Source organism: Homo sapiens, chromosome 14, assembly GCF_000001405.40.
Source record: "Homo sapiens chromosome 14, GRCh38.p14 Primary Assembly".
In the NCBI taxonomy this organism is placed as follows: Eukaryota; Metazoa; Chordata; class Mammalia; order Primates; family Hominidae; genus Homo; species Homo sapiens.
Window position 1 is genome coordinate 63,443,299 of NC_000014.9, and position 23,934 is coordinate 63,467,232.

The following is a 23,934-nucleotide window of genomic DNA, read 5'->3' on the forward strand; positions in this document are numbered from 1 at the left end:
ACCATTTGAGGTATAAGCAGAGATTGAGAATTGAAGCAGACTTTGAAACCAAGAAAAGCCAAGTCCTAGAGACAAAATAAAAATAATAACAGCAAATGATCAGTGTGACAAGGTTGAACACTTTTTGTAGGAGAGAAGTGACAGGATTTTACTCTAATGAAGACAGTACACCCAAGGTGCGAGCAATTATCTACAGCCGTCATCTCAACCTCTTGATTTTTTAATCTACTCTTCAACCCACTAGCTCCCACCTGTACCACTGCACTGAAACAATGATTCACTGGTATCATCTAGAGTTCCATCATTGTTCTTTTCCTCCCCTGCCCTACTCCCATTCTGATAACTACCAATTTCCACCTCCTACTTTCCACATCTAGGTCTCCCATAAGAACCTCAACATTAACTCATCGAAAACCAACTCCTCAGCTTCCATCCAAAGCCTGCTCTCCCTACTCCCCAACAGCAGCACCACACCACAAACTACCCAACTGCCAAAGCTATCCGAGACTCCTTCCTCTCTCACACTCCAAAAGTTCACATAAATGCTAACAAGCAGCATCAATTTTACCTCCTAGGTGAATCTCAAATGTTCCTTTCCTCTCCTTCTCTACTTCCATGCCTGCAGTTCGCTTAGGCCCTCCACAATTTCTCCAATAAAACAGTCTCCTAATTGATTCCTCTCTGCCTTCAATCTCAGCCTCCTCCAATCTCTCTGTCCCACTGTCACTGAAATACAAATCTGACCATGTCACTCCGCCACACAGAACCTTTCAACACTTATCCATCCATTGTCTGTCAGGTTCTTTCAGACTGGCCCACATCCACATCTTCAGCTGCCACCATTCACCTCCTCCCACTCTCCAACACACATATACACATAACACTGTAACAACGTAGCATGACTGTGTTTCCCTGTATATAACATGTGGTTTGGGAATTCCTTTGCATCACATAATTCTCTTTAAGTTCAGCCACATTCATCTTTTAATACCCTACTGAGGCTATAATCATTCTGTCAAGCCTTCCTTAACCACCCTTCTATCTACCTTCACGTCCCTTTACTCCTTCCTTGCCTTGTACAGACTTTACTACTATATATATGACATTATCTTGTTACTGTTCACGTGAGTATTCCCTCTACCAGATTGTGAGCTCACTGGCAAAGTGAAGCCCTGTCTTTTTTATTAGCAAAATGTAAAAGTGTAACACTGAGTCATTTAAATAAACATTAAGAATTAACTAAAACAATGTCTTCACCCATGAGATTTCATCTCATATTTGAAGTATCCCCAAAAAAAACATTTTCGAGAAAAAAAAAAGATGTGCAAATATAAACAATATAAAATACACAGAGTTCAAGCTCAGGTAAATAAAAATTTACACAAGGTGATTTGGAAAGCCAGAAATTCCAAGAAATCTTTCAAATGGATACATAACAACAAAACCAAAAAGGCATTAGCATAATGTGGTTAAAAAAAATATGCCTCAGGGACAGACACCTGACACTTGAGATGATGTGAAGCAGAATGGAGCAAAGCCTAAAGGAGCTGGAAGTCCTGATTCTCATTTTTTCATCAGCTATGACTCCAGGAGACCCCAAGAGAAATACATGACACAAACCACTTTCTGAAGGAACTACTTTGCACAATGGCCTGTAAACTTTAAGAAAGGCATAATCCATTCAAAATTTCTTAGACTGTGTTGATCAAAAGAGGTGTTAGTTTTCAGAAATGGAAAGATGTAAGGGATTCATCATCAACTCCCTCTATTTATAACAGAAGAAACTGAGGCTTAGAGAGAAAACTACTTACCCAAGTTCTTACCACTAGTTAAGTGGAAGATGAGAAATGAAGACAGTGGCTTCCATGTTCTCTGTCTGGGACTCTTTATGGGCTATTTTGCTTTACAGGCACACCTCACATACATTATAGGATCAGTTCCAGGCCATCACAATAAAGCAAATATCTCAATAAAGTAGTCACACACATTTTTGGTTTCCTGGTGCATGTAAAAGTTGTGTTTACAATACACCGTAGTCTATAAAGTGCACAATAGCTTTATGTCTAAAAAAACAAAAATGGATATACCTTAAAAATACTTTATTGCTAAAAAATGCTAACAATCATCTGAGCCTTTAGCGAGTTGTAATCTTTTTTGCTGGTGGAGGGTCTTGCCTTCATGTTGATGGCTGCTAACTCATCATAGCGGTGGTAGCTGAAGGCTGAGGTGGTTGTGGCACGTTCTTAAAATAAGATGACAATGAGGCCAGGTGTGGTGGTCTCACGCCTGTAATCCCAGCACTTTGGGAAGCTGAGGCGGGCAGATCACAGGGTCAGGAGTTCAAGACCAGCCTGGCCAACATGGTGAAACCCCATCTCTACTAAAATACAAAAATTAGCTAAGCGTGGTGGTGAGCGCCTGTAATCCCAGCTACTCGGGAGGCTGAGGCAGAAGAATCACTTGAACCCAGGAGGCGGAGGTTGCAGTGAGCGGAGATTGTGCCATTGCACTCCAGCCTGGGCAATAGAGTGAGACTCCGTCTCAAAAAAAAAAAAAAATGACAATGAAGTTTGTGGCTTCGATTGACTCTTCCTTTCATGAAAAATTTCTCTGTAGCATGTGATGCTGTCTGATAGCATTTTATCCACAATGGAACTTCTTTTCAAATTGGAGTCAATCCTCCCAAACCCTGCCACTGCTTGATCAACTAAGTTTACATAATGTTCTAAATCCTTTGTTGTCATTTCAACAATGTTCACAACATTTTCAGGAGTTGATTCCCTCTCAAGAAACCACTTTCTTTGCTCATCCATAAGAAGCAACTCCTCATTTGTTGAAGTTTGATCATGAGATTGCAGCAATTCAGTCAAATCTTCAGGCTCTACTTCTCATTCTAGTTATCTTGCTATTCCCATCACATCTGCACTGCAGCTACTCTCTCTATTGAAGTCGAAGCTCTCAAGGTCATCCATGAGGGTTGGAATCAACCCCTTCCAAACTCCTGTTAATGCTGATATTTCGACTTCCTCCTGTGAATCACAAATGTTCTAAATGGCATCTAGAATGGTGAATCCTTTTCAGAAGGTTTTCGATTTGTTTTGCCCAGATCCATCAGAGGAATTACTATCTATGGCAGCTACAGCCTTAAGAAATGAATTTCTTAAATAATAAGACTTGAAAATCAAAATTACTCCTTGACCCATGAGCTGAAGATTGGATGGTATGTCAGCAGGCATGAAAACAACATTCGGCCGGGCACGGTGGCTCACGCCTGTAATTCCAGCACTTTGGGAGGCCGAGGCGGGTGGACCACGAGATCAGGAGATCAAGATCATCCTGGCTAACATGGTGAAACCCCGTCTCTACTAAAAATACAAAAAATTATCTGGGCGCAGTGGCAGGCGCCTGTAGTCTCAGCTACTCGGGAGGCTGAGGCAGAAGAATGGCGTGAACCCAGGAGGCAGAGCTTGCAGTGAGCTGAGATAAAGCCACTGCACTCCAGCCTGGGGGACAGAGTGAGACTCCATCTCAAAAAAAAAAAAAAAAAAAGAAAAAGAAAACAACATTCATCTCCTTGTATATCTCCATTAGAGCTCTTGGGTAACAAGGTGGATAGTCAATGAGTAGTAATACTTTGGGGGAAAAGAAAAACAAAACGTTTTTCTAAGCAGTGGGCCTCAACAGTGAATTCAGAATATTTGGTGGACCATGTGTAAACAGAAGTGTTGTCATCTAGGCTTTGCTGTTCCATTTACAGAGCATAGGCAGGGTAGATTTAGCATGGTTGTTAGACGCCCTAAGATTTTCAGAATGGTAAATGAGCACTGGCTTCAACTTAAGTCACCAGTGGCATTAGTTCCTAACAAGAGAGTCAGCCTGGCCCAAGCTTTGGCACTGATTTCTCCTCTGCAGCTGTAAAAGTCAGAGATGGTAACATCTTCTAATAGATGGTTGTTTCATCCACATTGAAACTCTGTTGTTTGGTGTAGCCACCTTCATCAATGTCTCAGCTAAGTCTTCTGGACAACTTGCGGCAGCTTTAGCTTCTACAACAGCATTTAGTGCTTCACCTTGCACTTTTATGTTAGAGAGATGGCTATTTTCCTTAAACCTCATAAGCCAACCAACCTCTGTTACTGTCCAACTTTTCTTCTGCAGCTTCCTCAACTCTCTCAGCCTTTATACAACTGAAGAGAGCCAAGGCCTTGCTCTGGGTTAGGCTTTGGCATAAGGAACGTTGTGGCTGGTTTGATATTCTATCCAGACCACTGAAACTTTCTCAATTATCAGCAATAAGGTTGTTTTACTTTCTTATCATTCACATGTTTACTGGAGTAGTAGTTTTAATTTCCTTCAAGAACTTTACCTTTAAATTCACAACTTGTCTAATTGTCTGATGCAAGAGGCCTAGCTTTTGGTCTGTTTCAGCTTTTGACATGCCTTCCTCACTAAGCTAAATCACTTCTAGCTTTTGATTTAAAATGAGAGACATGTGACTCTTCCTTTCATTGGAACACTTAAAGGCCATTATAGGGTTATTAATTGGCCTAATTTCAATACTGTTGTGTCTCGGGGAATAGGGAGGCCTGAGAAGAGGGACAGAGGCTGAGGAACAACCGCTCAGCAGAGCAGTCACAACACATACAACATTTATCGATTAAGTTTGCTGTAGGGGCACATTTCATGGTGTCCCAAAGCAATTAAAATAGTAACTTCAGGTCGGGCGCGGTGGCTCACGCCTGTAATCCCAGCACTTTGGGAGGCCAAGGTGGGTGGATCACAAGGTCAGGAGATAGAGACCATCCTGGCTAACATGGTGAAACCCTGTCTCTACTAAAAATACAAAAAATTAGCCAGGCGTGGTGGCGGGCGCCTGTAGTCCCAGCTACTCAGGAGGCTGAGGCAGGAGACTGGTGTGAACCCCGGAGGCAGAGCTTGCAATGAGCCGAGACAGAGCCACTGCACTCCAGCCTGGGCGACAGAGCGGGACTCCATCTCAAAAATAAATAAATAAATAAATAATTTTTAAAAAGTAACTTCAAAGATCTCTCATCACAGATCACTATAACAGATATAGTAACAATGCAAAGGTTTGCAATATTGCAAGAATTATCAATATGTGACACAAAGATATGAAAGGGGCATATGCTGTTGGAAAAAATGGTACCAACAGTTTTGTTCCACACAAGGTTGCCACAAACCTTCAATTTGTTTGGGCACAGTGGCTCACGCCTGTAATCCCAGCACTTTGGGAGGCTGAGGTGGGTAGATCATGAGGTCAGGAGTTCGAGACTAGCCTGACCAACATGGTGAAACCCTGTCTCTACTAAAAATACAAAAATTAGCCAGGCGTGGTGGCTCCCGTGTATAATGCCAGCTACTCAGGAGGCTGAGGCAGGAGAATTGCTTAAACCCCGGAGGCGGGAGGTTGCAGTGAGCCAAGATCGTGCCATTGCACTCCAGCCTGGGTGACAGAACAAGACTTCGTCAAAAAAAAAAAAAAAAAAAAGCAACCCCCAATATCTATGAAGTGCAATAAAACGAGGTGTGCATGTGATTTGTTTATACCCATAAGAGCTGCTTTGCTTTCCTAATTCTAGAAGTCTGTAGGTGGTATCCAGACTTCATTTAATTGTTAAAAATGGTTTCCACAACACATAGATTACTTTTATCTCTTACTCTTTTCTTCCCCTAACAGGAATACCAGTTCTCAAAGTACAAGTCCCATCAAGTTGGATCAAAAGCTCTCGGTACTAATGCTGATACTGTAACATGCCATTATACATCATTACTCATCCTGGTTTGCAAAACCCATCTATCACTTCATTAGTATTTCATAAAAAACACTATCATTTCCCTCACTAATTCTGGTGAAGTGATTTTGTTTTACAGTAACACGAAAGAGAAATCAGCGGGGACAGTGATTACCCAACAGGCAGGATCATCTTGGAATTAGAGAACTTAAGAACCACTGTGGCAATGGAATAAAACACATCTCAGTGACGGAGTATTTTAAGTACAAAGAAGTAACAGTGGGTTCCACCAATGATCGTAAAATCAAGTATCTAATAAAATCATTGAAATGTAAAAATAGTATTTACTGAATACTTGCCACATGTTAGAGACTGTTCTAAAACTTTTATAAATATTGTCGCTAGTCCTCACAAAACCCCCCAAAGACAGGTATTACACAAATTAGGAAAGTGACCAGCACCAGGATGTATATATACAATGGGCTTAGAGGGAATGAGGGCACCAAGTGGGACGTGGTTCCAGTTTTCCTTACAGAACAGTAAGCACACGTTCTATGGACTGTATATGTATGTATGGTGTTGAGTACCCTGATATGCAAACAAAAGCACAAGCATGTTACCTAGGTGGAATATTTAAGGAGGGACTGGGAAAACTATGGCTACCCTCCCCCCACCCTATGTACCTCTTAGCACCACACAAAAATGGAGAACCCCTAAGTTAAAGTAACTTGCTCACATTGATGTAGAAAGTATGGCCAGAGCTGGCATTTGAACCCAGGTCTGTATGGTTCCAAAGCCTTGCCTTTTCTTTTCTTTTCCTATTTTTTTTTTTTTTTTTTTTTGAGATGAAGTCTTGTTCTGTCACCCAGGCAGGAGTACAGTGGCACAATCTCAGCTCACCGCAACCTCCACCACCCAGGTTCAAGCGATTCTCTTGCCTCAGCCTCCCAAGTAGCTGGGATTACAGGCATGTGCCACCATGCCAGGCTAATTTTTGTATTTTTAGTACAGATGGGCTTTCACCATGTTGGACAGGCTAGTCTCAAACTCCTGGCCTCAAGTGATCCACGCGCCTCAGCCTCCCAAAGTGCTAGGATTACAGGCGTGAGCCACCGCGCCCAGCGCCTTGTCTCTTTCTACTCTATCATAATATCCCCTTTCTGTAAATGCTCCAGAGTGTCTAAGTACCGTATATAATTAGTAGCTAACAATTTCAGAAATCACCAAATATGAAAAATAAGTTATACTTCTAAGAAGCCGAAACTACCATCTAGAATTTTCTAATGCCCTAGAACAGCATGTACACTAACAGACTCAATGCCTCCTAAGATAAAGCTCCAGTGTATTTTAAAACACATACAAATGATAGGAGTCTCTTTTTTTGGCTGGAGAATGGGGAGGAAAAGAGGGAGAAAACGGTCTCCCTTAGGAGACCAAAGCTGGTTTAACACCAAGCTGGTCCATATGGATGACAGAATTTTTGGATTATGCTAAACACTCAGTTTAAAATCTGGGTATAATCCAATGACATCCAATATCTTAATCATAATTTGAGAGACTGAAATGCCTACATTTTAAGGAGGAATTCATTCATTCAACAAATTTCAAGAAGACCTGGACTAGGTAGGAGGTATTATGGATGCCACAGATATGTGCAGGACACAGTTCCTTCTTAGGTGTGCTTACACCTAATTAGAAAAATCAGATAAATATGTGAAAAGACAAAAAAAAAAAAAAGGAGCAAATGAACAAATTCCCAAAATGGTGAGTTGCCAAGAAGCAGAGGAACTGAAGGAAGGAAAAAGCACTGTGTTTTTTCAGGAAAACAATAGTAGCACTTTAAGTCAGCCCTTGAAGGGAAAATGAGAATTAGAACTAGAGGTGAGGGAGTGGGGAATACGTGAAAGTCCAGAAACAAGGAAATAAAGGCTATTTAAATCAAATCAATACCAAATGCTGGTGAGGATGTGGAGCAGCAGAAATTCTCATTCACTCCTGGTAGGAATGCAAAATAGTACCACTACCCTGGAAGACAGTTTGGCAGTTTCTTATAAAACTAAACATACTCGTTACTTATAACAAGTAATAAAAGTAAATGCAAATTAAAAAAAAACTAAACATACTCTTACCATACAATACATACAGCAATTACACTCCTTGGTATTTACCCAAAGGAGCTGAAATCTTATGTTCATAAAAAAAACTTGTACACAGATATTTATATTAGCTTTATTCATAATTGCCAAAATTAGGAAGCAACTAAAATGTCCTTCAGTAGGTGAATGGATAAACTATGGTACATCCAACCAATAAAATGTTATTCAACACTAAAATAAATGAGCTATCAAGTCTTGAAAAGACATGAAGGAAACTTAAGTGCATATAACTAAGTCAAAGAAGCCCATCTGAAAAGAGTACATGCTGTATGATTCCAACTATATGACAGTCTGGAAAAAGCAAAATTATGGACACAGTAAAAAGATCAGTGGTTGCCAGGGAGTTGAAGGTGGTGGGTGATGAAGAAGTGGAGCACAGAGGATTTTCAGGGCAGTGATGTATGGTATGTATGGTACTATAATGGTGGATACATGTCATTACACATTTGTCTAAACTCAGAATGTCCAACACCAAGAATGAGCCCTAACGTGAACTCTGAATTCTGGGTGATAATGATGCGTCAATGTAGGATCATCAATTGTAACAAATGTACTGCTCTGGTGGGAGTGAGGGGGGAGGTGTTGATAATGGGGGAGGCTGTGCTTGTGCAGGGACAGGGGCATATGAGAAATCTCTGTACTTTCCTCTCAATTGTGCTGTGAACCTAAAACTGCTCTTAAAAAATTAAATTTTTAAAAATAAATAAGTATACAGATGTCCTCATACAAAGGCAAACTGATGTGTGTATAAGGATATTCATAGAGTACTGCTTAAATATGGTACATTCACACAATAAATATTATGCAGCTATAAAAAGAATATGGCAACTTTATATGTACTGAAATATATATTGCTAAGTGAAAAAAGCAAGGTACAGAAAATACATAGTGTGCCACCATTTGTGTGCTTACAAAAAAAAATATTTATACATATGTTTGCATATACTTATATATTCATGAACTATCCATGGGAAGATACAGAAGAAAGTCATAACCGATACCTCTGTTGGCTGATGATACAGGTAGGCTAAAACCAGGGACTGTGCTCTGCAGAAGGCAGGTAGACTAGAGAAGATCCTCTGCATCACATTAAGAGGTTTAGATAGCATGCAAACTCAAGAGCAAGGTTTCTCAACAGTGGCACTTGTGATATCTGGGGCCAGATAATTCTTTATTGTGGGGGCCACCCGGTACATTGTAAAATGTTTAGCAGTATCTCTGGCCTCTCCCACTAGATGCTGGTAGTACTCTCCTCTCACATCTAGTTGTGACTACCAAAAATGTCTCTAGACACTGACAAATGTCCCCTGTAAGGTAAAATCACACCTGGTTGAGAAGCACTGCTCAAGAGCCACACGGTCATCTTTAACCTACAAAACATTCTAGTGCTACATTCCTGTAAATTAACAACAAATCCAATATACATTCAGATATAGAACTGAGGAATATATTGGGCATCGTTTTCAGATGACCTTCATTATTTCAGTCACAGTCTCACGCTGAGATCATTCAAGTGCCTTTGCAAATCTGAACTATCATTTTTAAACATATCTACTCCATCACAAAAGTCTCTTTTCTGCATTGGTTGAATACAAATGATAAAGAACTAAATACAAAAGCCAGGCAGATGTTCCGCAGTACACAGAGAGTGTGCCAGATCCTGCAATGGACTCCTCAACGATGCACTGACCTTAAGGATCTCTGAGGCTATTTCACCAGTCAGTAGACCAGCTTCCCCACCCTGCAAAGCCCATCCCCAAATAGCGTGCACTCTCCAGCTCCAAGATCTTCTGGGATGCCAAGAAAGGCAACTCTCCCACAGAAATCTATCAGAAAACCACATTTTGGCTCAGCTTTTGAAAAACTAAAATAATTGTTCACACAGTAAGAATGTAATTACTCACATTATGTTAATAATGTTTTTCCTCATAACTCCTAATGACCACACAAAATCTAAGACACTATTCAAAAATCATAAAAGGTATCAACCCTGACTTCAAGGAGATTATAAAGAGAAGCGTTAGTTATAAAGCCCAAGAGAGGCCTTAACTACATTCTACAAATCACAATTTTATTAAGCATTAAGCCATTTCTAATATACCACAATGAATAAGATTAAAAAAAAAAAAGACATCCAACAGGCTTGAATATTTTTCAAACACGGATCTAAGACTTTTGTTATTTTCCTGTGTCTTTTCTTTTGCCAAAGCTAGAAATCCAGTAATACCCTGGCAATCTTGGCTTCATATTTTGAAGTCATTTATTGCTTCAGCACTGTCGTAGTTAAAGTTCTGGATTTCGTTCTCATGAAATCATGCTCTTCAAATTCTAGCACTGTGCCGACTACATTTGCTTAGCTCTCCAAAGGTTGGCTCTCATTTGTGGAGTTGACCTCCAATGACCTCACTCTTGCAATATATACACCTGTGAGTCACTATGGAAGATGCTTAAAAGTGTCCGCGGAGAAAAAAAGAAACTCACCATTCTAACTACTTCAGGGTAAGTCTGCTCTGTCAAACAGCCTCTGCTTATTGTAATGTAGTCCACCAGTTCATTAAGAGTGGAGCGCTTGTATTCTTTCATTTTAAGATCAGATAGCGTGTCCATGAAGTCAAAAATGACACAGCACTGCTGAAGTTTCTTTAGGAACAGTTCAGGCTGCTCTGAGGATGGAACGTCTAAGAAAAAAAAAGGAAATGGTGTAAGTCTGTCATCAATTTCCAGGTAACAGGAATTCTCTGTGAAAGTTACTTCAAAGGCAAGCTAAAAAAAAATAAGAATTCACATGACAACAGTGTTCTTTTTCACAGTTACACATGGGTGGGAGGGGATACCGTATCTACTACTTCAGAGACCTTGTCTTTGAAAACTACATTGTACCAACAAAATTGACTGTATTTGCTATTCCACAACCAAGGATTGACCAAAATCCCAAAAGACTTTAGAAGGTTGAAGCAAATTTTAACCAAAAACACCCCAATGTCAATACCTTTAAATTAAAAACACTGAAAAAGGTCAAACTTTCCCTTATAAGAAAGCTTTCGCTGTGGTTTAAATTAGTTTTACTAAAAAATTTCAAAGCAGAAATGTCAGTTGATTTATTTTAATTTCATGCTGACATCCTTGGTATTTAAAGCTATTGTTGTGTGTTTATATTTTTTTGTTTTGTTTTGGCTTGATCTGTATGAAGTTTCTTTCTGAAAGAAACCTGAAAAATCTACTAAATGAAACAATACCAACTCTCTCAAAAAGAGCACACCAGCAATAAGAAAATAAGAGTAAATGCCATATAAATCTACATTCTCTTTTTACCCATCTTCTTGTACTGTGAGAGAAAACCACTAACATCTTATATTAATATGTTCCCAGAATGGACATCTGCTCTTTTCCCGCAAACAGCAGGTCAGACATTTGGCTTGGCGTTGTTTCTAAAAAATATGTAGAAATTTTAGGTTAGTTGAAATTCCTCAGCTAGAAAGGAGCCTGATCTACAGTTGGACTTCAAATATACCGACTAAGCTGTAGACAGCCTATCCCCTCCTATCTTCTTTCCAATATTTCATTCCCCCAAACTGGAGCTTCCCTGGAGAAGCAATGAAAATTATAACCAGGGTAGGCTCTACTGCCTTCATCCAAGGTGATTAGCTCATTAATCCTCAGAACATCCTTAGAAAGAAGCAGGTGGCATTATTCTTCTCCATTTTTCACACACACACAAAATAGAGACAATCATTGAGGTCCCACAGGGAATGGGTTACAGAGCTGGGCAAAGTGCCCAGGTCTCTAACCACACTCCCATGTTCCTTTTGTACTAAGCAAGAAGGACCTTAACAGTGTGTAGTCACTTGCAGTCATCCTCAGTTGCCAGCCTTCTGGTAAATGCTTTACAATGGCCTCCTGGCTTGGGCTGCCTGCTCCCTGGAGAGGAGGGCAACAGCATACAGCACCCCCCTTACAGCCACCAGCAGCAGGAAGTGAAGGCCAGCCTCATTTTCACAGGACCCACCAGGCTCCTCTCTACAACCTTCTACCCCACCTTACACCCCACAACCCAAATGCCAGCATAGCTACCTCGGACCTCACAGGCAATTCTGGCAAAACACTGCCAGTTAAGTAAACCTAGATGAGAGTGGATAGGACACCTAAATACATAGGCTTTCTCTACCAGACATTAGAGAACAAGAAGCAGTCCATATCTTTGAATGTATAGCATCACTCCTACTCTCAGCAAAAACAAGTATTGAATTTAGAAATTATTAACCAGTGAGTTTCCCTTCCCCCATCACTCCTAGGTCCCCAAAAGCACAATGTGTCTTGCAGTCATGATATAGGTCTTATCCTATGCCCCCCTGGATTTAATCGGTTTTACAATATTTAGCCTTAGACTACAAGAACTAAATTCAGTCAGACCAAACTCTCTAAGTGCTACCTGCTTTGGGCGTTTAAAATAAATAAATAAAAATGAAATAAGGCTGCTTATGAGCATGACTATATCCTTAACCAATGACTAATTCATGCACAGGACCATCACAGTTAATTACTAAAATCTTTCGAGATCGAAATCAGACCCCAGACCTAGCAGCCGAATGGGAATACTGATGCTGCAAAGGGGGCAAGAAAAAGCTTTTTTTTTTTTAGTTTGAGATGAAGTCTTGTTCAAGCAATTCTCCTGCCTCAGCCTTCTGAGTAGCTGGGCTTACAGGCATCCACCACCACACCCAGCTAATTTTTGTATTTTTAGTAAAGACAGGGTTTTGCCATGTTGGCCAGGCTGGTCTCAAACTCCTGACCTCAGGTGATCTGCCCACCTCGGCCTCCCAAAGTGTTGGGATTACAGGCATGAGCCACCGCCCTGGCCAAGAAAAAGCTTATTAATATAACATTCGTTACAGGTCAAAATCTTTAGGGAAATTTTAATTAATTCAATATTTGATATAGTGATTTTAATAAAGTCTAAAAATCAGACTATCTACATGTTGAACTCCTTAACATAGCATATATAACTTATAAAAGCATCGATGAATTGTAGTCTTTCCTCCTAAAGTACATCATCATTTAAGCAGTGACAACAACAATTAACATTTGTGGTCACTGCAATAGTACTCAAGAGATTCATATACTTAGCAGTTCAAAAAATTTAGGCAGTTAACACTTAGTCCTATTTTTTAATGTTAGGCAGTTGAAATTTATCCTTTATTTGTGCAAAGTGATATAATGTCATAGACAAATGTGAAACAGGCTATCCACCTGTCCAGTGGAATAAGGATAATAACTTACATTTATTGAATATATTGGGTACATTTATTGGGCACTTTATCTAAGCACTTATACATATTATATCTCCTTTAATCCCTTCAATGGCCTTCTGCAGTAGGTACTATTTCTAACTTAACAAATGAGTAAACCAAAACACAGAGTCAGTGACTTGCCCATAGTCACACAGTTAATAAGCAGTGGAGACAGGATTCAAACCCAAGTGGATTGGCTCCAAAGCCTGGACCCTTCACCACTGTGCAATGCAACACGAAACACAGTGAAAGACCAGAGTGATACCCTATTCCAGAACACAGGGTGTGTGCAAACACAGAAGAGGAGGAAGAAAGCAGACAAAATGAACAAATGACTCTCCATTCATAAAGCATCATGCTAAACCCCTTCTCTATCTCCCCTCTAGCCCATGCACCAAGAATTAACACAGCAAAAGCTGCGATTTGTCCTTTATCATAAACTAAATTCTTTCTAAAATGACCTACCTTCATTAAATTAAAAAACTTGCACAGTCAAGATGAACCAAAAGGGGGTTCTTAAAGAGACAATCCCTTTATGGTAACAATTTAGGAAAGTTTTATACATGTTGAAGGATGACCAGTCCAAACAAGAGGTTCTTCATATAATGTCTGGGCCTCAGACTGTCCCATATAGCTAATACTGCTCCCAATCTCCTCTCTCATCTACCTAGTCCCAGGTGGATGTGAAAAGGTAGAATGTGAGAAGGCAGGACAGGCCAGAGATCAGAGAAGGAACAATCTCTGAGTAGTCCAGAAGGTTTCCACTATATAAGAAAAGTTTAGTGTCTATGTAAGCAGTCCCTGAAGTAGATCCAAATATTCTTTTTAAATAAACATTTATTAAAAGGATCACTTAAGAAGCCATAAAGAGAATCTCATAAAAAACAAAAACATATCATAAAGGCAATGAATTCTGACCACAATACAGTAACACTAGATTTTAACAACTCAAAGCTACCCACCTCCAAAATCCAAGTCACCTGGAAATCTAAAAACTTCAGAAGTCAAGACTGAAGAAAAAAACAAATTACAGTCATTAAGAAATAAATGTGAATTAGGAAAATTAAAGGTCATCTTAGAATCCCAAAGCAGACCAGGCAGTGGATGCTTCCGTCACCTATCTTCCAGTGAAAACCTCTGGCCAGCAGAGGCCATCCCTGCTCCCAGGAAAGGGATCCCACAGAAGCACGGCCATAAATAATGAGCAATCAATAAGCGGTTATGTAATACCGTGAAGGTCACTGGCACAATGACTCCTCCATCCAAGGTTGTATGTGTTCAAAAGAGAGAATAATTGATCCCATTATCACAGCTTGGTAAGATCCCATAAGGTCAGATTCCACTGCTCTAGAAGAATTCTTAAAATTTTAAGTTGGTTTCCAGAATATGTTTCTCCACCAAGAAAAGAATGCAATGACCAGCTAAACTGTACTTCTCACTGCACTGTACTTCTCTTTACTTTTTAGCAGTAGTCATTCTCCCCCTTATGTCTTTATATCACCGTCTTCCAGTATCCACCTATCAATTTTCATCAATAAGCAGGGGAAAATGACTACGCCTACCTCCAAGGTGTTCATTACATCTGAATATTTTTTAAATTTACGAGTGTGACATGCAATGGGAAAATGGACATAAAACTCAACACAGAGTGAGGATGCAATCTCAGATTAAGACAAAGATTCTCTTTGTATCTAAAGAAGTCAACAGGATCTATATACAGTTTAGCTCTTGCTGGGGGGCACTCCCCTCACCCTAATCATGATTTAAAGGGAAGGTTGTTTACAATTTGCAGAAGTAGCTCATTCTTCCCTACTAGTCCACTTCCATCATTCCACCCTATCTAATGTTTGGGGCACATAATCATGGATCCAATATCACCTCACATTTTCTTCAGGCCTGCCTCATTCAGCACTTTGCAAAGCAAAAAGTAACAAGGGTAGAAGAAATAAAATATGTGCCCAGTCTCTTGAGTTTGGTACTCTGGGACTCCGATCAACAAAAGTTGTTAAAAATCAGAACGTTAAATTCACATTTGCAAATATGCCAGCCAAGTAAATAAAGGAGGCCTACATCATTATATTTATTACCCATCATATCATAAAAATAAGGTAAATTGCTTTTAAAAAATAAGTTAATAAAGAAAATGTGGACTGGCAAATTATTTACACATAAACTATTGAAATGTATGTGGAAATAGAGTGAATAAGTATTTCTATAAAATGTTCATATGTTTGCATTGGAAGCTAAACTATAACATTGCTTGAGCTCCTAATGAACAATATTTATAATATCATTCAATGAATATCTATAAATTATATTTATATTTCCATTCAAAAGATCTAAAATAAAATTCTTCTAAATTAACAATACTTTTTACCTGAAAATGTCCTAAGGTATTACTCACTTAGCCCTTTTACTTCTATTTCTCCAACTTTCACAAAAAATAATAGGACCAGCACACAATGAGAATAGTAAGTATGGCCTCTGATCCCACAGAACTTTCTCTTAAGATGTACAAATCCTCATCCATGTATACTCTGTCCTTCACGGGCAACTCTCCATAAACTTCAACAAAATCACTGAGAATTTTACTTGCATAAGACATACGAGTCTATATTTACAGAAAACTAAGTGTCTCATAGTTCTAAGGAGATGCTTAATACTAAAACATTAACATAAATAAAACATTATTAAGCAGATTGAGCCGTGATAGACTGAAGCTAGGTACACTAGCATATGCGGTAAAATGCCTAATTACCTGCCCATGTAGTCTGTCCAAATCATTGCTATCAATTTTACCTCTACCTTTTCATAGCACATATTTCAAGAAACCTAGAAATAATCCTATTTTATTAGTAGAACTAAGCTTCCATTACAGGAATTGCTTTTGACACCAGTAAATCACAGATATAACCAACAATATTTCCTCAAAACGAGGAGACAACTATAAGCCTTTATAATAAATCAAATAATAGACTTCATGTCCTATGAACTGGAGCCAAATATAACATGTTGATTACACAGGATATTTCAATGCACATAAGCAAATAAAAAACTAACCCAGAACCAATCTGTTAACTAAAATAAGCATTAAATACTTGACCAATCCAATTACTTTATTATTGTATTCAAAGAAGTGAGTTCAAAGATGTTTGTTGTTGATGATGGTGGTGATGGTGGTGGTGGTGGTGATGTGATATTTCACTGCTAAGCATTTGTATTTTATAAAAGTGACTCCAGTGATTTCAGTATGTCACTACGGTTAAAAACCACCGTTTTTAAAGTAAGCACTCTAAAATCCTTCTTTCATCCCCTCCTCCTTTGAAATTCTTTCTCTCCATTATTTAAAGCTAGCAGTGAAAACTTTTAGTTTCCAAGCTAAGGAAGGTCCCTGGAAACATTTACAACAGTGAAAGCGTTCTTTCTTGGCCTTGGCTATAATAGGTGAATGTCGAGTTGGCTGCTTTTAGAAATCTTGCCAATCTGTTAGAGAGCTTGAGAAACACTTTGCTGATTATTAGCATACACGTTTTTTAAAGGTTCAAAACGTGTCATAGAATGACTAGCACAGATAGAATACTGTCAAAAGGATGAGATGAAGGTGTGGGTATTGACTGAAATTTCCAGGTAAAAAGAATAGAGACAATAACAATCATGAACACTTACAACCATAAAGCACTGTACTAAGCTCCTGACACACATTATCCCTTTTAATCCTCAGAATATCTTAGGTGTAGCCACTATTAATATCCCAGTTTTTCAAATGAGGAAACTGACACCCAGAAAGGCTAAGTCATTTGTCCAACATGACACACTGGAAGGGCTGCAGCTAGTATCTGAACCCCAGTAGTCTTACTGCCCCAACAGTCTTGCTGCGGAGGAGGGAAGGGGCATACCAATAACAATGATGATAATGGTGATGATCATGCTAAATAACAGCAACTAACCCCCATTAGAGTTGTACATATACTTCCATTGCTATGGTTAGTTATTTGTTTAAGAGAAGTTGCAGTCTAAAAGAAAAATTGGTTGACTTTTCTATTAAATACAAATATTCACGTTTTAAAACTTACAACAGTATAAAATCAGCCTTAAGCTAGTGAACAAGTTTAGGCAGGTAGGTTTAAGTTTTAGATAATAATAACATATTAATTATTCTTCCCAAATGAGACAACGAACATGTATTTATTATTATTGTGTCATGAAGCTCTCCAGTTTCCCTTTCCCAAAAGCTAACAATATGCTCTCCAATTTACAAATAAAAACCAAAGGTCACCACCACTAGTACAAACTAGTATGGCTTCAAGCAGCAAAATTACATGATTCAGGGCTTTCGTGTTATTTTGACACTATGATCTAATCAGAAGAAATAGAAAATATACTCACACGCACACATACACACATGCACACTGATAAATGACACACAGTGATAAATGCACACAGTGATAAATGACACAGTGTTTCCAACACTGCATGTTATCCCTCATGCTTTATCTTCTAATGCCAAGTTGGTTACTGAAACTTGTCAACACATGAAAAAATATTTTAAAACTGATCAACTCCTCATTAGAGGTTTAATTATTTTCCTGCCACCAAACTCACCACAGGACAGATGCCACCAAAGGTTCTGACAAAGTCAATGTCTTTATTAGTAATTCATTTCCTAAGGGCTTATTTCCAGGGCAGTAATGCCAGGAGGGAAAGAACCGAGGCCTTTTGAATATGAGGAATTCCTAGAGCTTGACAGGCTATACTAAAAAAGAGCTGCAAGAATTATATACAGTATTCTACAGTTTGCATTTCAGTGGTTCCCTCTTTTGAGGATGTTACGTGCCAGTAAAATTACAGAAAAAAAAAAAGCAGTTTGTCAATTTTTCTTCAGGTAAAGGCATTAAAAACATAGCCACCATTTATTTTCACTATAATTTCATAAAAATAAAGCACCTTTATAATAACAAAAGAAGATAAAGAACGATCATAGAATAAAAGACAATACTTCCTTTCAAAAGGAGGGTTGGTGCTGGGCACGTTGGCTCCCACCCAAAATCCCAGCACTTTGGGAGGCCAAGGTGGGAGGATCGTTTAAAAGCCAGGTGTTTGAGACTAGCCTAGGCAACACAGCGAGATCGCGTCTCTACAAAATTTAAAAAAAAAAAAAAATTGCTGGGCTTGGTGGCGTGTGCCTGTAGTCCCAGGTACTTGGGAGGCTGAGGTGGGAGGATCACTTCAGCCCAGGCTGCAGTGAGCTATAAGCGTGCTACTGTACTCCACCCTAGATAATAGTGTGAGACCTTGTCTCAAAAAGATATAAATAAAAATAAAAAGGAGGGTTAGCAATTACCCCTCACACATACACACACACACACATGCATGTGCACACATACACACATAGAGTGGTATATTCTCTCTCGACCTTCCTTTCTCTTCTTATTTTTCACTTTTCCCAGTACTGCCAACAACTTTTCCAAGGGCCTGTATTTGGGGATCTCTGAGCCATATTATTCCTTTCTTCCAATACTTTTCTAGAAGCACGGACAACAGAATTCTAGCTGTAATGACAGTACCGATTTCAACTGTATTTTTTTTTTTTTTTTAGACGGAGTCTCGCTCTGTTGCCCACGCTGAAGTGCAGTGGTGCAATCTCGGCTCACTGCAAGCTCCGCCTCCTGGGTTCACGCCATTCTCCTGCTTCAGCTTCCCGAGTAGCTGGGACTACAGGCACCTGCCACCTTGCCCGGCTAATTTTTTGTATTTTTAGTAGAGATGGAGTTTCACCGTGTTAGCCAGGATGGTCTCAATCTCCTGACTTCATGATCCGCCCACCTCGGCCTCCCAAAGTGCTAGGATTACAGGTGTGAGCCAGTGCACCCAGCCTTCAACTGTAGATCATCATAAAAGCTGAGAAGATAAATCATACGTTCTGCAATTGTAAAGGAAGAGCAGCCATGTCAGTCCTTAAAATTCTTAACACAAAATTCCCATGAAACTGCACATACCTCCATTCAAGCACTTGCTACATTATACTGCAACTTTTTTTTTAACCAGCACTACACCTGCCTTGCACGTTTTAATAAACTGTTCGTATCAGAAGTTTTAGAATATAGTAGGTACGTAATGTTAGTTGAGTAAGTAAATTCTACATATTTGCATCTTATTTCCCCATGTTTTCATTTTTAAATTATAACTTTATTCCTCCAGAAATAAAATTAGACTAAAGAATAGAGGAAAAGGCTTGATATAATGTATTTAATAAAATAAATTATTTCCTAGTATATTAATAATATCAAGTCATGAAATGCAAATTTTAAAAGTAAGATGGTTTTATGGCTGGGCACAGTGGCTCATGCCTGTAATCCCAGCACTTTGGGAGGCCGAGGTGGGCAGATCACCTGAGGTCGGGAGTTCGAGACCAGCCTGACCAACATAGAGAAACTCTATCTCTACTAAAAATACAAAATTAGCCAGGTGTGGTGGCGCATGCCTGTAATCCCAGCTACCCGGGAGGCTGAGGCAGGAGAATCGCTGGAACCTGGGAGGCGGAGGTTGTGGTGAGCTGAGATGGCGCCATTGCACTCCAGCCTGGGCAACAAGAGCAAAACTCCATCTCAAAAAAAAAAAAAAAAACTAAGATGGTTTTTTTGTTTTTGTTTTTGTTTTTGTTTTTAGGCAGAGTCTCGCCCTGTCACCCAGGCTGGAGGCAATGGCACAATCTCTGCTCACTGCAACCTCCGCCTACTGGGTTCAAGTGATTCTCCTGCCTCAGCCTCCCGAGTAGCTGGGATTACAGGCACGCACCACCACGCCCAGCTAATTTTTTGTATCTTTTAGTAGAGACGGGGTTTCACCATGTTGGCCAGGATGGTATCGAACTCCTGGCCTCGTGATCGCCCACCTCGGCCTCCCAAAGTGCTGGGATTACAGGCAAGACAGTTTTTAATGACCCAATATGTATAAATATAAGAAGGAGTGAAAAGAGCCAGCTTATCTGAAAGAACCTAACCAAAAAAAAATGCATTAGTTCCTCAGTTCCCTGAACTATGTTCCCTTATTAATATCCAGTAAGGTAATGCCTTATTTTAACAACTTATTTAAAACTCGAATTCGCTTTTTTTTTTTTTTGATACGGAGTCTAGCTCTGTCACCCAGGCTGCAGTGCAGTGGCACGATCTCGGCTCACTGCAAGCTCCGCCTCCCGGGTTCATGCCATTCTCCTGCCTCAGCCTCCCGAGTAGCTGGGAATACAGGCGCCCGCCACCATGCCCGGCTACTTTTTTGTATTTTTAGTAGAGACGGGGTTTCACCGTGTTCGCCAGGATGGTCTGGATCTCCTGACCTCGTGATCCGCCTGCCTCGGCCTCCCAAAGTGCTGGGATTACAGGCGTGAGCCATCGCGCCCGGCCGAATTGACTTTTTAAAATAAACAGAATGGTTTATATTCAAGGATAAGAGAAAAATAGGGAAAAAATTCAAAATGAAGATGAGTATACAACATTAAGTAGCATAATTTGGAAATGCCCTCTATAGCAAAATAACCCGAAAATTTTGTCATTTATTATTTATAAATGAAAAATGAGAAGGTCTAGTGCAAAGGGAATGGGCTCCTCTATTCATTCACTCACTCTATCATTCACTGATCCGCCAAATATTCATTGAACACCCACCAACAGCCAGGGACTACTGTGATAACATAATGAAGAGGAGACAAAAGTCCTGAGCTTTACATTCTAGCAGGAAGAGACAAATAATAGAAACTAAAAATAATAAACATGTTATACGGTGTATGCTATGGGGAATAATAGTGTGCAGGGCAAGGGGGACTAGGCACGCTGGGGTTGAAGGGTACAATGTTAAACAGAGCATTCACCTGGAAGATGACATTTGAGCAAATACTTGAAGGAAGTGGGGTAGTCAGCCAAGGCTGTCTGGGGAAGAGTGTCCCAAGGAGAGAAATGGCAAGTGCAAGGTACTGTGGCAGGAAGAAGGAGCATGCTGGTGAATCTGATGATCAGCAAAGAAGTGAATGTGGCTGGAGCTGGAGTGGAAAGTGGGGAAGAAAAGGACAGAAGAAGAAAGGACAAGTGGCTGCAGAAGATCATCTTGGGTCTTGTGAAACACGGTGAGGACTTTGGCCTGGAATCTGGTTCTGAATTAGAATCACACTTTTACTGTTTACTGACAATGGACAAGCCACTTACTTCTCTGAGCATTAGTTTCCTTGCATGTAAAATTAAGAAAATATACTCTGGCCAGGCACGGTGGCTCATGCCTGTAATCCCAGCACCTCGGGGAGGCCGAGGTGAGCGGATTACCTGAGGTCAGGAGTTCAAAACCAGCCTGGCCAACATGGTGAAACCCCGTCTTTACTAAAAATATAAAAATTAGCCAGGTGTGGTGGCATGTGTCTGTAGTTCCAGCTATTTGGGAGGCTGAGGCAGGAGAATCGCTCAAACCCAGGAGGCAGAGGTTGCAACGAGCCGAAATTGTGCCACTGCACTCCAGCCTGGGTGACATAGTGAGACTCTGTCTCAAGAAGAAGAAAAAAAAAAAAAGACAAGAAAAGAAAAAGAAAATGTACTTCACAGGGTTGAGTAAAGATTAAATGAAAAATCATTTCTAGGGTGGAAAGTGCTTTCCACAAAAAAGTCATCATTCGTTTGACAAATATTTATCAAGTATCTATAAATACTGTATGGAATCAATTTCCTATTTCATAACTTATTAAAACTATCTTCTGTGCAGAAATACTTATATTTGCTATTTCTGGCACACCTTCAAAATTAGTTTTAAACAATTTTTTAATTTTATTCTGAAGTATTTCTAGAAACATTAAATTTTTGACCGGGCATGGTGGCTCACGCCCGTAATCCCAGCACTTTGGAAGGCTGAGGCAGGAGGATCACTGGAGTCCAAGAGTTCGAGACCAGCCTGGGCAACATGGTAAAACTCCACCTCTACAAAAAAAAAAAAAAAAAAAAAAACAACAACTAACAAAAGATTAGCCAGGCCTGTAGTCTCAGCTACTTAGGAGGCTGAGGTCAGAGGATGGCTTGAGCCCAAGAGGCAGAAGCTGCCGTGAGCCGTGATTGCACCACTGCGCTCCAGCCTCGGTGACACGGTAAGACCCTGTTTCAAAAAAAAATTTTTTTTAAAGAAACATTAATTTTTTGTTAAAATTTTATTCTAGTAATACCAAACTTGAATTAAACAAAGGCCATCTATTTAGAACTCTCAAATAACCATAACTTCTCTTCTGCACTTGTCTTTTAAGACAAGGAGCAAATCATAAAATCCTAATTTGATAAAAAGGAATTACGGAACAAATTTCCAGGATGTGCCTGAGAGTCAGCATCACTGAAGCCCAATTTTCAGTCAGGTTCAGAAGTATGAGAAACAAAAATCTTCAAGAAAAAAGATTATTTTTTATTTACGCCATGCTTATAAGGTAAGGAAATAAGTTAATGGAATTAAAGATTTTCAGCAAGCATGTAACATTCAATTGACCCTCCCTCCCCACAACCCGGCCAAAAAAACGGCAATAAAAGGAGACATTATTTTCAAGCATTTCAGTTAATTGAGGGTCCTTCCCCAAGAGATTACTTCTAAAGGGGATAAAATGGCCTATGTATTTTCCATTTGTTTTGAAGATTAACATCAACACCAATTGTTTCAGAATAAAATGAACCTGCAGCTATTTTAACAGCCCACTTATCTGTTAATTCATAATTTATAGTTGATCAAAGACATCATGAAACTTAAAAAAAAAAAGTTTTAAAAATACAAAAAAAAAAAAACAACAACAAGAGTCAATCCAATGTTGCAATGCCAGCTTAGAGATGCTATTTTTGAACCTCTGTTGGGATTTTAAAGTATGAGAGCTTAAGCTCCTGAGACTGACACAGGACTGAGAACAGTGGAATAGCTTCTAATCCCAAGAGTAATAAAGAGTGTAAATTTATAATTAAAGTCATAATCTCAGCAGTAAAATCCAGGGATGGCATGTAGTACACAGGCATGTAGTACACAGTCCCCTAATTGTGAAGCTCTCCCATGCTTCATACAAAAGATACTACTTAATTAATATAGTTAAATACAAATGTAAGTCCACATAGAACAGTTGAGGAAATCCAAAATTCAAATCTGAAATACCATGCCAAGAGACAAGAAACCCATTTCAAAGCTTTATTTCCTCGTGTGTATAAAAGCAGAATTATTCAAGCATAAAACAATAAAGACGGAGAAACTTACAAGTGTGTACTTACGTATGTATGTGTGTATACATATGTGTATACATACATATGTGTATGTATGTATGTGTGTATGAACAGTTTTGAGTATATGACTCCAAAATCAAAACTTGGAGAACAGTAATGCAGAGAGTTTAAAAAGGACAGCGAACGTGTCTGGGAAGCTTAACACTTTCAGAACAGAAAAGTATTTAAAAACATTATTGGCCGGGTGCAGTGGCTCACGCCTGTAATCCCAGCACTTTGGGAGGCCAAGGCAGGCAAATCACGAGGTCAGGAGATCGAGACCATCCTGGCTAACACGGTGAAACCCCGTCTCTACTAAAAATACAAAAAATTAGCCGGGCGTGGTGGCAGGCGCCTGTAGTCCCAGCTACTCGGGAGGCTGAGGCAGGAGAATGGCATGGACCTGGGAGGCGGAGCTTGCAGTGAGCCGAGATCTTGCCACTGTCCAGCCTGGGTGACAGAGCAAGACTCCGTCTCAAAAAAAACA

At 39.6% G+C, this 23,934-nt stretch overlaps 1 protein-coding gene across 10 annotated transcripts in view; it reads right to left on the reverse strand.

Moving 5' to 3' along the window:
* The window catches only part of PPP2R5E (protein phosphatase 2 regulatory subunit B'epsilon), a 172,014-nt gene that overhangs the window by 71,935 nt on the left and 76,145 nt on the right, over window positions 1-23,934 (reverse strand). For 8 of the 10 annotated variants that reach the window (XM_047431543.1, NM_001282179.3, NM_001282180.3 and 5 more), the window contains one exon: window positions 10,391-10,587. The exons of 1 other annotated variant lie outside the window; for it this stretch is intronic. In XM_047431543.1, the coding sequence (XP_047287499.1) occupies window positions 10,391-10,587 (197 nt within the window). Of the gene's footprint in view, window positions 1-7,968; window positions 10,588-23,934 lie in introns of those variants that run through there. One more of the 10 variants, NM_001354926.2, reaches the window with a different exon arrangement.